Source organism: Homo sapiens, chromosome 14, assembly GCF_000001405.40.
Source record: "Homo sapiens chromosome 14, GRCh38.p14 Primary Assembly".
NCBI lineage: Eukaryota > Metazoa > Chordata > Mammalia > Primates > Hominidae > Homo > Homo sapiens.
Genome location: NC_000014.9, coordinates 70,402,637 through 70,416,579, shown reverse-complemented (window position 1 = coordinate 70,416,579; position 13,943 = coordinate 70,402,637). Strand labels below are relative to the sequence as shown.

At 38.2% G+C, this 13,943-nt stretch overlaps 2 protein-coding genes across 4 annotated transcripts in view; both read left to right on the top strand.

The window, feature by feature from the left end:
- The window catches only part of SYNJ2BP-COX16 (SYNJ2BP-COX16 readthrough), a 92,010-nt gene that overhangs the window by 511 nt on the left and 77,556 nt on the right, over positions 1-13,943 (top strand). The window lies entirely within an intron of this gene.
- SYNJ2BP (synaptojanin 2 binding protein) overlaps positions 1-13,943 on the top strand; it is a 50,592-nt gene that overhangs the window by 511 nt on the left and 36,138 nt on the right. The window lies entirely within an intron of this gene.

Genomic DNA, 13,943 nt, shown 5'->3' with positions numbered 1-13,943 from the left:
TCTTTCCGTTGCCTGTTCTATCCCTCCCCCTATGAGGGACCGTTTAGTAAAATGGGAGCATAAACGGTGTGGACTCTGAATGCATAGCCGTTTTCCTGCAGCTAGGATCCCTCCCTCGCTCCTTTGATTTCTGGGAACTTCATTTACAATGTCAACTAGAATGTTAAAGCAGGAAGAGCCCTTAGAAATCTTTTATTACACAGGTTCCCAAACTTGGTTCCGCCACAAAATTACCCAGGGCTTTAAAAAAAAAAAAAAAAAAGAAAATAAAAAGTTAAATCTTATCTCCCATCTGCAGGGATTTGGATTTAATACAGATTTATTTTATTTATTTATTTATTTTTTATGAACACCTCATGTGATTTTGAGCAGCCAAACTGCTATCCTCTTCCCCCACTGTGGCTCTTCATTAAACCGGGCTCTTGACATTACTACATTCTGCCTGCTTTCGACTTTGTTTACTTTCCTTTACAACTATTTAGTTGATCAATTAAGAGCTCTTTAGCTTTGGAATTACAGTATCTGGGTCTAAATCTTGTATCTAACCTCTTACTGATTCTTGATACTTATTGGCTAACTTAACTGATGTAAGCCTTAGTTTATCATCTCTAAAATGGGGATGGTTATAAATATACTTCATAGTGTTGTGAGAATGAAATGAGTTAATCCATGTAAAATGTTTACAACATTGCTTGACCTATGGTAAACAGTATGTGTTTCCTACTATTGTTACTGTTAATGGATAAATAGCTAAACTGACACAGTAAATCCTACTAATACTGTATTCCAAGAGTCTCTAATAAATCATCAAGTACTCTGAGCTCCATCTCTGAAATGTTCCTGAAATTCTTTCACTCCTGTTTCCCTTGCCACTACCTAGGACAGTCCATCACCTTTTCTCATCTGCAGTTCTGCAGTAGCTTAATCATGGATAGATTATTCTTTATAAAATATAACTTTCAGAATTATCCATACTTTGTGTCTTCTTTTCTTTTCTTTCTTTCTTTTTCTTTTCTTTTTTTTTTTTTTGAGACAGGGTCTCACTCTGTTGCCCAGGCTAGAGTGCAGTGGCACGATCTCAGCCCACTGCAGCCTCTCCCTCTTAGGCTCAAGCAATCCTCCCACCTCAGCCTCCTGAGTAACCGATACCATGGGTGTGCACTGCCACGCCCGGCTAATTTTTTTGTATTTTTGGTAGAGACGATGTTTCACTACGTTGCCCAGGCTGGTCTCATTTAAACTCCTGAGTTTAAATGATCCACCCACCTCTGCCTCCCAAAGTGCTGGGATTACGGGTGTGAGCCACTGTGCCCTGCCTTCCTTTCTATTATTAAAAATTGGAAGTTGGTTTTACTTATCGGAATATAACTCATCACTAATACCATTATTAATATTTTTTTTTTTTTAGAGACGAGGTCTCACTTTGTTGCCCAGGCTGGTCTTGAACTCCTGAACTCAGGCAGTCCTCCTGCCTTGGCCTTCCAAAGTGCTGGGATTACAGTCATGAGCCATCATGCCTGGCCTATCACTAATCTTAATGGATTAGTGTCATGCTCCATATGTGCGCCTAAACTTTTGTCAAAGGCTCATTTGGTATGCCCAAGTTTCTTGGATTCATTTTTTTGCTATTTTATATAAATGTATCCTTCACTCACTGTTAATATTTATTGACTTTTGAGGCTAACATAGAAAGTTACTTTTCAATCAAAATCTGTTTTTTTGTACTTTTCATCCATTGATAACTTGTTCTCTTAGGACCAATTAAAACAATGCTAGTTCCTTTTCTGATTGCTGTGCAAGTATTTATTTAAAGGCTCTAGTTGTTCTGCTCCTGTTTTGCCTCTTTCTTCTTTATCCTAAATATCTTCGGTTATTTTACTACCTCTTGAGATGTTTGAGATTTGATTCTTGCCTTTTGCTTAAGAATTTAATGTACTTTGACATAGTCCTTTTGCTCTGGCATCCAAAGTATTTTCAGATCTCCTGTCTAAAGCAGAGCAGGACCCTGATATTATCTCTTGTTCTAAAGATGAAATCTTTTTAAAATTCAGTATAATATCACTTCATCTTTTTTGGCATTTGTAGTCATAAATTTCCTAGTGTTAGTATTTTCCCAAAACATTGGCATTCGGACAAGCTTCAAGGACTAATTAAAGGGAATAATTATATCTAGCTAATATATTTCACCCAAAAATGGTTTGATTTCTGTATCACATATTTATTACAAATGAATGTATTTATTCACTCAGTGGCTTCCTAAATTTTCATAAGCATTTCCATGTATTAATTATATAAGTCAGTGAACTTACTGGGAGAGTAAAGCCTCAAGTTTAGGAATGAACTTGGGTGAAAACAGTCATTTGAAATTTGGTTGGTTCAGTTAACAAAGAAAGGTTTCAAGTTCATGTTAATCACTTACCAGAACTGGTTTCCTAGTATGTGATACTCTTCTTCTCAGGGTCTAATTCAGCTTTTCTTCATGGTATCATCATGAAGATATATAGGGAGGAGACTGTCTCAAAATACCACTAGAAACTAATCACCACTAGAAACTTCCACATAATTTTGATGGTCCCATAAGGATCTTTCTATCTATGGAAGAAATATGAAAATCCTCTAAGTATGCATTTCTTTTGTAGGCAGCATTGCCCACTCTTTGTGTTTGTATAGCTGTGTACTCAGGAACCTGATGTTTAATCAGATCCGAGAACATGTGTACCATTCCCCCTTTGTGTTCTGTCAGGGACAAGAATTGTGGATATTTCCAGTGTTTGGGCCCATATTATAAGGCAGTCGAACCTGTTCCTGACTGATCTGCTTACTGCAAGGGAAGTAATGAAATCTTGGGGAAATTATGACAACAGAGTGAAGAGGCAAAAGAAGCTTGACATGTATTAGGTTGGTGCAAAAGTACAATTACTTTCTTTTGTTCTTCTTTTTTTTGAGACGCGTCTCACTCTGTCACCAGGGTGGAGTGCAGTGGCACGATCTTGTCTCACTGCAACCTCTGCCTCCCAGGTTCAAGCAATTCACCTGCCTCAGCCTCCTGTGTAGCTGGGATTACAGGCATTTGCCACCATGCCCGGGTAATTTTTGTATTTTTAGTAGAGACAGGGTTTCACCACGTTGACCAGGCTGGTCTTAAACTCCTGACCTCAAGTGATCCACCTGCCTTGGCCTCCCAAAGTTTTGGGATTACAGGCGTGAGCCACCCCGCCCAGCCATAAGTACCACTACTTTCAATGGCAGAACCGCAATTACTTTTGCACCAACCTAATAGCATGGAATCTCTCCTGTTGTCTGCTTTCTCAACTGTAAGAAGGGACTTGGGCTAGATGACTTCAGAGGTCTCTTCCATCTCTAAGAGTTCATTCTTTGGCTCATTTTATGATTATTTATGTTATTTTATGTTTCCTACCATTTGGAACTTCGTTTTGTTTTTATTTCCTGCCATTTTAGACTAATAGTATGAGCTGAAGAATTACAAAGGCAGTGGCTACAATCTCAAATGTCTTCAAGGGTTGAACAGTTTACCTTTTATCTTTAGTGGAATCTTGTTTTTTTCTACAGGAGTCCAGCTTGATTATAGTATCTAAGGCTCTCACTTTTTCTTTATCAAATTGAAAGTCTCTTAATGCGTCTCAAAACTCAGTTACTCTAAAAAGTGTGACAAGACTGTTTAATATGTTTTTTTGCACTGCAACAGGTAAGAGATTGGCCATAAAGACAACCTTACTGTACATTGAGTACTATGATTAGGAATCTTGTTTTTAGGTCCGAGTCCTCAATGGGTTTCAGCAAGTTACTCCTGATATGCCATCTTTAAAGAGGGAAGAGAATATTTATTTTCTTACTTTCTTTAAAGGCCTTGGAAAAGATGATGGGTTGATGGCAGTGTTTTAATAATGAATACTAAAGGAGGTATTGTCTTTCCGGTAGTGTGCTAGTTACTATATATACATATATATACTGTATATATACTATACATACATATATATACTGTATATATACTATACATACATATATATACTGTATATATACTATACATACATATATACTGTATATATACTGTATATATACTATACATACATATATATACTGTATATATACTATACATACATACATACTCATTTAATCTTCACAGCAACCCTGAGTAATAAATATTTAATCCACATTATTAGATTGGGAAATTGCCTTGGGGAGGTTAAGGACTTGCCCAGTTTCTAATGCCAGTAAATTTCAAAGGATTTTTAACCCAGGTGTGTTAATTCTGCTATACCATATACTACTTTCCACTGCAGTAGCCATGTTTAAGAAGTTGACTGCCAACCTTTCCCCTGACCTTTATTTTATTATATCATGCCTTATTCCCAGAAGCATTTGAGGCATCTTAAATGACTAATACAACCTACAGTGGAAAGTTTTTATTGCTTGCTCTTGATAGAGCTGAGGGCATATCAAGGTGAGTACCTAAAATCAAGATGCCCCATTAAGTTCTATCATTTAAGCCTTGTAGACCTGTCATAGGCTTTGGGTTTCATGCTAACTGAAACTGTTGCTAGCAGTTTTCTGATCTATTCCTTTCTTCACATATCAAATAGATGTGAGGCTAAATGCTATATCCTTGCCCTATTTTCTCTTGCTTACACAAAGTCTCGCCTTCATGGAGTTTACAATCCAATAGAGATATGATGTTCACATATGAAAAATTAAATCTCACTGCAAAGGTGCAGATAGTTAAGGAAAATGATGAGGAGGTAGTTAGTGGGAGGGCAAAGGAAGTGCGGAAAGGAGCATGGTAATCTGACCCTGTGTTGGGAAAGTTCAAGAATGCAGACACTGCTGAGAACCATTAAAATGGTCAATTAAAAGAACGTGGAACTTGTGGGTCTTCTGGAATGGACAGGCTTTAGGCTAGGGCCAGAGTCAGGGATGAGTATGGCCTAAGCAATAATAGAGAGAAGAAAATAAGCAGAGCATATTCTGAGGTTAGTGAGTAAACCAGCCTGGACAGAAGGAAAGTTTCCTTTAGGAGATTCAAGAGAGAAGAGGTAGCTGAGTAGTAACCTGAGTAGGTGGAGATCAGATTATGGAGTCTTTAGTGTTAGTATGGAAACTTAATCTTTCTCTAAAGTTCTATCTGGATTCTTTCTACTTCCTAGCCATTGATTAGGACTCAGTTCAACAGTTAGCTCCTCCAGGAAGCAGGCTTTACCTAGGATAGATGTTCTCTTATTGTCTATATTATACATCATTTACAGATTGCCTGTAATGTATTCCCATGTATTGCCAAGCTAAGCACTGTATCTTGTCCCCTTGTAAAAAGGAAGAGATGAAATGGTTATTATCCCCATTTCAGAAATGAGGAAACCTTGACTTCTGCATTATACAACTCTTTAAGTGAAGATTTCGATCCAGGTCTGTGTGACTTAAAATTCCAAGCCCTGAATCATTATAAATAACTTTTTTTTTCTATATGCTTTCTCACTTATGTCTCCTCCTTCTACTTCACTTTGAGCTCTTCTGAGTCAAAGAACATATATTTTATTTCTTATTTTCTTTCATTTAACTATTATTTTAGGTTCAGGGGTACATGTATAGGTTTGTTATATAGGTAAACAGTGTCATGTGGGTTTGTTCTACAGATTTTTTCGTCACCCAGGTATTAAGCCTAGTACCCATTAGTTATTTTTCCTGATTCTTTCCTCTCAACCTCCACCCTAAGTAGGCCCCAGTGTCTGTTCTCCTCTGTGTGTCTATGTGTTATTATTTAGCTCCCACTTATAAGTGAGAACATGTGGTATTTGGTTTTCTCTTCCTTTGTTAGTTTGCTAAGGATAATGGCCTCCAGCTGCATCCACGTTCCTGCGAATGACATGATCTTGTTCTTTTTCATGGCTGCAAAGTATTCCATGGTGTATATGCACCACATTTTCTTTGTCCAGTCTACCATTGATGGGCATTTAGGTTGATTCGATCTCTTTGCTGTTATGGATAGTGCTGCAGTGAACACATGCATGCATGTGTCTTTAATGTTTTTTTAATGCTTTGTCTAGTGCATGACACACAGTGGTCAGTAAGTGTTCATTAAATGACTGAGCAAACTGATAGATATCATAATAATATAATGGAATGTTTTTATATTTATTTATTTATGACATAGGGTCTTACTTTGTCACCGAGGCTGGAGTGCAGTGGCACGATCTTGGCTCACTGCAGCCTTGACCTCCTGAGTACAAGTGATCCTCTTGTCTCAGCCCCTCAAGTAGCTGGGACTACAGGTGTGTGTCACCACACCTGATTAATGTTTTTATTAGCCATATTTTTCATAGAGACGGGGTTTCACCATGTTGCCCAGGCTGGTCTCCAACTCCTGAGCTCAAGTTATTCACCCACCTCGGCCTCCTAAAGTGCTGGGATTACAGGCGTGAGCCACCACACCCAATGTACTTATTTATTTTTGAGACAGGGTCTTGCTCTGTCCCCCAGTCTGGAGTACAGTGGCACTATGACAGTTCACTGCAGCCTCGACCTCTTGGGCTCAGGTGGTCCTCCTGCCTCAGCTTCCTGAGTAGCTGGGACTACAGACATGCACCACCACACTTGACTAATTTTTTTTTTTTTTAATTATTTGTAGAGACGAGATCTCACTATGTTGCCCAGTCATGCCTTGGACTCCTGGGCTCAAGTGATCCTCCACCTCAGCCTCCCACAGTGCTGCGATTCCAGGCATGAGCCACTGTGCCTGCCATAATGGGATGTTTTAAATAAAGAGAAGCAGTAACATGATCTGTTTCAGCTTTCAAAAAGTGGTAAACATGGTTCTTCACTAAATACAATTTGAGAAAGAGAGAATGAGGATGGACACATTGTATTATGATGGATAGGAAACTGGCTAAGATATCAGAAACAAGGAGAAGGAGTAGATGGAACACCTCTTGGAGAGAGTCAGGTAAATGGAACAGTTCTCTAAAGATTGCTTCAAGGATCAGTATTAAGATCTTTTCAAAACAATACTAAAGAAAAACTGTACAGTAAAATATCTAGGAATTACTTTGGGGAAATAGAAAGGCAAGCTGATAGATGTTCAACTGCAGAAACATTTTGCGAAGCCATGTGACTAGCCAGAAAAGTGGTCAATGATTACATGTGATAAGTACACAATTATTTATTGAGGGAAAAATAGCCAAACTATACTTAGATGATAGGGTCAGAACTGCTGGTTTCAGAAGACTGAAAAGTAAAGTAAAACTATTTTTTAAAATTTATTTAGCATTTATTATGTGCCTACACTATGATTAGGAATCATGGACACTAGAATAAAGAATAAGAAATGATCCCCATTTTTAAGAATTTTGCAGTTCAAGCCAGGCATTGTGGCTCTTGCCTGTAATCCGAGCACTTTGGGAGATCAAGGAGGAGGACTGCTTGAGGCCAGAAGTTCAAGACCAGCCTGGGCAACATAGCAAGACTCCCATCTCTGCCAACAAAACAAAGCAAAACAAAACAAAACATTAGCTGTGTTTGGTGGTGCATGCTTGTAGTCCTAGCTACTTGGGAGGCTGAAGTGGAAGAATTGCTTGAGCCCAGGAGTTCGAGGTTGTTGTAGTCCTAGCTACTTGGGAGGCTGAGGCAGGAGAATTGCTTGAACCTAGGAGGTGAAGGTTGCAGTGACCTGAGATCGTACCACTGCATTCCAGCCTGGGCGATACAGCGAGACTCAGTCTCAAAAAAGAAAAAGTGCCAGAATGCTTGAGTTCAAATCCTTACTCTATCACTCACTCACTGTGTGACCTTGTGCAAGTCACCTCACTTCTATCTGCCCCAGTTTCCTCAGCTATAATATGAGAGTATTATTAGAATCTACTTATAGAGTTGTGAGGATTCAATGATTTTTTTTTTTTTTGAGACGGAGTTTTGTTCTTGTTGCCCAGGCTGGAGTGCAGTGGCGCAGTCTCAGCACACTGCAACCTCTGCCTCCCGGGTTCAAGCGATTCTCCCGCCTCAGCCTCCCAAGTAGCTGGGATTACAGGCGCCCGCTACCACACCTGGCTAATTTTTCTGTATTTTTAGTAGAGATGGGGTTTCACCATGTTGGCCAGGCTGGTTTCTAACTCCTGATCTCAGGTGATCCACCCATCTCGGCCTCCCAAAGTGTTGGGATTACAGGTATAAGCCACCACGCCTGTCCGATTTTTGTTTTATAAATAATTTGTAGTGACGATTCTGTACTGTCTTAAGCACTTTACCACAAAACAACTCATTTAATTCATTGAAGTGCTTTAAGGATACTGCTATGTGGGGAGTAGACTTTATGGGGCAAGAATTGAGTCATCTAGGAAGGGTAGGGTAAGCTGTGTCAGTAATTTCAGGGATATGGGGCTTCTGTTTCTCTTTTTCCCTCCTTTTATGCCTTAGTTTATAAAAAAACCCTATTACTGCAATAGTCCTTCCCCCTCCTCCAAAAAAAAAAAAAACCTGTTAGAAGCTCCCAGAAACATTTTTAACCTTGTGAGATTTCCCTAGAACTGGAAATGTTAGAAATTCCTGACCTAGGTGTAATTTTCAATTCCAATAATAGTCAATTGACACCAGTTGGGCTTTGTGTATGTACTAGGTACTATATTGGCACAGGAGGTACAAAAATGAATATAAGCTAATTACATTGTCTTCTAGGAACGAATATTGCAATAGGGTAATGAGACAATTAAACAAGTAATTTCATGTTTTCAGGCAAAGGGAAGAAGACATCCAAAGTCACGGAGATAAGCAGTAGCTGTGGGCGGGGATGATAGGGTGAAAAGCGATAGCAAATATTAAATTTTGTTTACTGTATAATGCAAAGTAGAGAATGTCCAAAGATGGCTAGAAAGGTAGATTATGGTGATTTTGAGTTTAAACTTCATCTTCTATGTTTTTTTTTTTACTTTGATTTTATCTTGGGGATATACTTAGAATTTATTTAAAAATCATTTTATCATATTTGCATAGGAAATAGTAGAAAAAGTCTACTGTAAGGAGGATACTATAACAAATTTTTTTTTTGCTTAATTAACACAAAATTGGTGCTTTGAGAAACTTTAGCCTTTTATTATTGACTAAGTTGGTGCAGAAGTAATTGTGGTTTTTGCCATTTTTTTTTTTTTTTTTGAGACGGAGTCTCGCTCTGTTGCCCAGGCTGGAGTGCAGTGGCACAATCTCGGCTCACTGCAAGCTCCGCCTCCCAGGAGATCACGCCATTCTCCTGCCTCAGCCTCCCAAGTAGCTGGGACTACAGGCGCCTGCCACTATGCCTGGCTAATTTTTTGTATTTTTAGTAGAGACATGGTTTCACCATGTTAGTCAGGATGGTTGTGATCTTCTGACTTCATGATCCACCTGCCTCGGCCTCCCAAAGTGCTAGGAGTACAGGTGTGAGCCACCGCACCTGGCCGGTTTTTGCCATTTTTTATAGCAAAAACTGCAATTACTTTTGCACCAACCTAATAAGTAGGAGTCATTAATAAATGTTTAAAATGCTTGCATTTTTGTACATAATCACCAGGTTCATCTCAACTTTTTTGAGGCATGATTCACATTCAATGAAGTGCAGGTGTAATCACCCAATGGGTTCTTCTTGCTCGCTGCCTAGACTGAGCCAATTTATCAAGGCAAGGGAATTGCAATAGAGAAAGAGTTTCATTCACACAGCGCTAGCTGTACAGGAGACTGGAGTTTTATTATCAGTCTCCCTGAAAACTCAGGGATCAGGGTTTTTAAGGATAATTTGTCAGGTGGGGGGTTGGAAAGTGGGGATCACTGATTGGTCAGGTCAGAGAAGAAATCATGGGGAGTTGAAGCTGTCCTCTTGTGCTGTGTTGTTTCTTGGGTGGGCACTACAAAGACTAGATGAGTTAGTTTATAGATCTAAGTGGTGCTGCCTGATCCATTGAGTGCAGGGTCTGCAAAATATCAGAAGCACTGATCTTAGGTTTTACAATCGCGATGTTATCCCCTGGAGCAATTCGGGGAAGTTCAGAATCTTGCAGCCTCCAGCTGCATGACTCCTAAATCATAATTTCTAATCTTGTGGCTAATTTGTTAGTCCTGCAACGGCAGTATAGTCCCCAAGCAAGAAGGGGGTTTATTTCAGCAAAGGGCTGTTATCTTTGTTTCAAAGTTAAACTGTAAGCTAAGTTCCTCCCAAAGTTAGTTTGGCCTACACCCAGGAATGAACAAGGACAATTGGAGATTAGAAGCAAGATGGAGTCAGTTAGGTCAGATCTCTTTCACCATCATAATTTTCTCAGTTACAATTTTTGGAAAGGCAGTTTCATAAGCATTTTAAATATAAAGTTTATTTTGTAGTTGTTGGGTGTGTTATTCTGCAAAGGTAACCTGACGTTCCTGGTGTGTGTGTGTGGTGGTAGGCCCCCTCCTGCCCTGCTTATGCCTGACTGGCTACCTACTATAACAATATGATTTTAACATATAAGCCTAATACGTATCTGTTGGACTTCCAGGGGTTCCTTTTGGAAAAGGGTTAAAGTTAGAATTTGAAATTTAGTTTTGGAAAGCATGTCAAATAATGCAGGTTGAAAACACTTAATCTAAACAGGATCACAAGACACAATAAATAATAGTCATTAATTAAGTCAAGGTGATAATTGAAAGCAAAGACCTTTACTCTTGAATAGAAAGGAGACTTGGTTTCCCAAACAATCAAAAGACCTAATAAAGACAGCACAAGACCAACACATCTTTTTCTCTTTTTATTTTTGTAGATTACTCAAAAGGTGAACAAGTCTTTTATTATCTCTTAGTATATGAAAATATTGTTTAAAAGAGAGAACCATATTCTACCTTTGCATCAGTATGTTGTTAATGCTAAAGCTAACTTTAATAAACAAATCCATCTAATCTCAATCAGCTTTGAACACACAAGATTCCCATAACCCTTTTTTAATCTATTAAAGAGCAGATCAGTGGCCCCCAAAACCCATTATTTTGAGTCTGGCCTTGCATCAGTGTGCTTTTGATATTAATGCTCAATTTTGATTTTGATGCTCAGTTTTTTAAAAAGTGAAATAATCCCCTTCTAATTTTAGCCAACTTGATCACTCACAAAATTCATAAGATTCATGTTCCACAAAACTTCTATTAGGTTGGTGCAAAAGTAATTGCAGTTTTTGCCATTACTTTTGCACCAACCTAATACAACCTGTTCAAACCTTCAGTTTTGTCCTATACTTCCTTTTTGATATTGGCATTCTACCTTAGGACAGAAATTTATTATACATTTATTTCCCCATTATCATTCATTCATTCATTTATTTTTTTCCGTAGACATTCTACAACCTGTTTAAATCTTTAGTTTTGTCCTATACTGACTTTCTGATATTGGCATTCTACCTTAAGACAGAAATTTACATTTCCTTCTTTCCTATCATTGATTGATTTGATTGATTGATTGACTGACAGGGTCTCACCCTGTCACACAACTTGAAGTGCAGTGGTGTGATTACAGCTTACTGCAGCCTCATCCTCCTGGGCTTTGATGATCCTCTCACTTTAGCCTCCTGAATAGCTGGGACTACAGGCACACACCACCACACCCAGATAATTTTTTGTATTTTTTGTAGAGATGGGGTTTTGCCATGTTGCCCAGGTTGTTCTTGAACTCCTGTACTCAAGCAATCCACCCACTTCAGCCTCCCAAAGTGCTGGAATTACAGGCGTGAACCGCTATACCTGGCCCTCCTTATTTAATTTACATTTCTTTCCTCCTTATTTTGTCCACACAAAGTTACCATGTAAAGAAAAGTGATCTCTATTGTCAACTTTCTTCACATCTTACTTTCTTTATATGCACTGTATTTAGAATTGTTTCTCTTGTGTTCAGTAGTTTTAATTGTATATATTGACGGTAACTTTAACTCTTAGTAACCCTAATTTCCAGTGAAGAACCTAGGAAGTAAGGTAATTTTGAACAGTTTTATACCAGTATTTGTAGATAGAACCATTTCATAATTTCTAGAAAGATAACCTTCTCAATCTGTTTGTTAACAGATCTAAATATATTTAGCTTTTCTATACCATGTAAATGACTCAGACATTTTATAATTATCTGTTACTTAATTTAGCATAACATGATTTTAAGTTTCTGAAAAAGATTCTTAAAATTATGAAAAACTTGCTTATACACTTTTATACCATTTATATTCATTTAATTTATTCATTTTTAAAAGTTAGACTTGTATAGATCATTAAACAAAGCTGGCCGTCATCCCAAGTTACTTATTTTTTTGTGTTTGTCTTTAAGACAGGGTCTTGCCCGGTCACCTAGGCTGGAGTAGAGTGGTGCTATTATGGCTCACTCCAGGCCTACAGTAGTGCACCACCATGCCCTGCTAATTTTTTTTTTTAATTTTTCATTTTTGTAGAGACAGGATCTTGCCAGTTGCTTAGGCTGGTCTTGAGCTCCTGGCCTTATGGATGTTAGCTACCATGCCTGGCCTCAAGTTATTTCTTTGTTAATAGTTTCCACAGCTTGTGAAAGAAACCCTGACGTTACATACATGCATATTTTGCTGATCAGAAGAAACAGCCATTTTCATTAAACCAACAAAGTAGTCTTATTTTTGTAATGTGAACTAAAAGGCATTTGAGTTACTTTCTATATTTCTGATAAAATACTTGATTTAAGTGCTTACCTTTAAAGCCATTTTGTTACTGGAAAGGGGTCCTGATCCAGACCCGAAGAGAGGGTTCTTGGATCTCACGCAAGAAAGAATTTGAGGCAGTCCATAAAGTGAAAACAAGTTTATTAAGAAAGTAAACAAATAAAAGAATGTCTAATCCATAGGCAGAGCAGCCCTGAGAGCTGCTGGTTGCCCATTTTTATGGCTATTTGTTGATTATATGCTAAACAAGGGGTGGATTATTTATGCCTCCCCTTTTTAGACCATATAGGGTAATTTCCTGACATTGCCATGGCATTTGTAAACTGTCTTGGCGCTGGTGGGAGTGTAGCAGTGAGGACCACCAGAGGTCACTCTCATCACCATCTTGGTGGCTTTTGGCCAGCTTCTTTACAGCAGCCTGTTTTATCAGCAAGTTTTTCATGACCTGTATCTCGTGCCAAACTTCTTTTTCACGCCATGACTAAGAATCCCTTAACTTACTGGGAATGCAGCCCAGCAACCTTATTTTACCTAGCTCCTATTCAAGATGGAGTTGCTCTGGTTTAAACGCCTCTGACAAATTCATTAGAATGTTTTCATGTATTTTGGTAGTGAAGTATCACATACACATGACACATAAACATAGAGACATACAGACACAGTGACAGAAACAGATCTTATAGCTTTATAAGATTCTTCATTTGCCAGTTTGCAGATAATCTCTCCCTGTTTAGACTACCAGTTCCTTGATTACTTATTCCATTGCCCTAAACAGTTGTTTAGCTAGGTAACCCTAAATTGCAAACATTACTCTTAGGTGAAAATTGATACCCCTAGAGGCATAGAACTTATATCTATATACCATTATTTGCTGAAACAAAAAGAATCAGTCAAGATAAGATTGCCAGGAAAAGTATCTTTAAACATAGGTAAGGTTTGTTATGTCAACTTTAAGCCAGTGTCTTTCCCATTGTAAAAATTTCTAGCTGCTTGGGTATAGGGGCATGTCCTTACAAATGGAGATTTCCTTTATAGAAGTAAATTTATTTTACATAGAGTTTCAAAGTAGCCAGCTAAGTGCTAGAAAGTTGTATTTTGGAGACTATAATCTTGTTAGATACTTAGTTCGTTTCTTGATTAGATTACTGACTTCAAAGTGGAGCCCTTTCATGAATGGGACCAGGAAAGTATTTGCAGTTTCCAGGGCCTAATAGATATATATTTTAAAAATTTCTTTCTTTTTTTTTTTTTAAAGCAGGCTTTCATTATGTTACCCAGGCT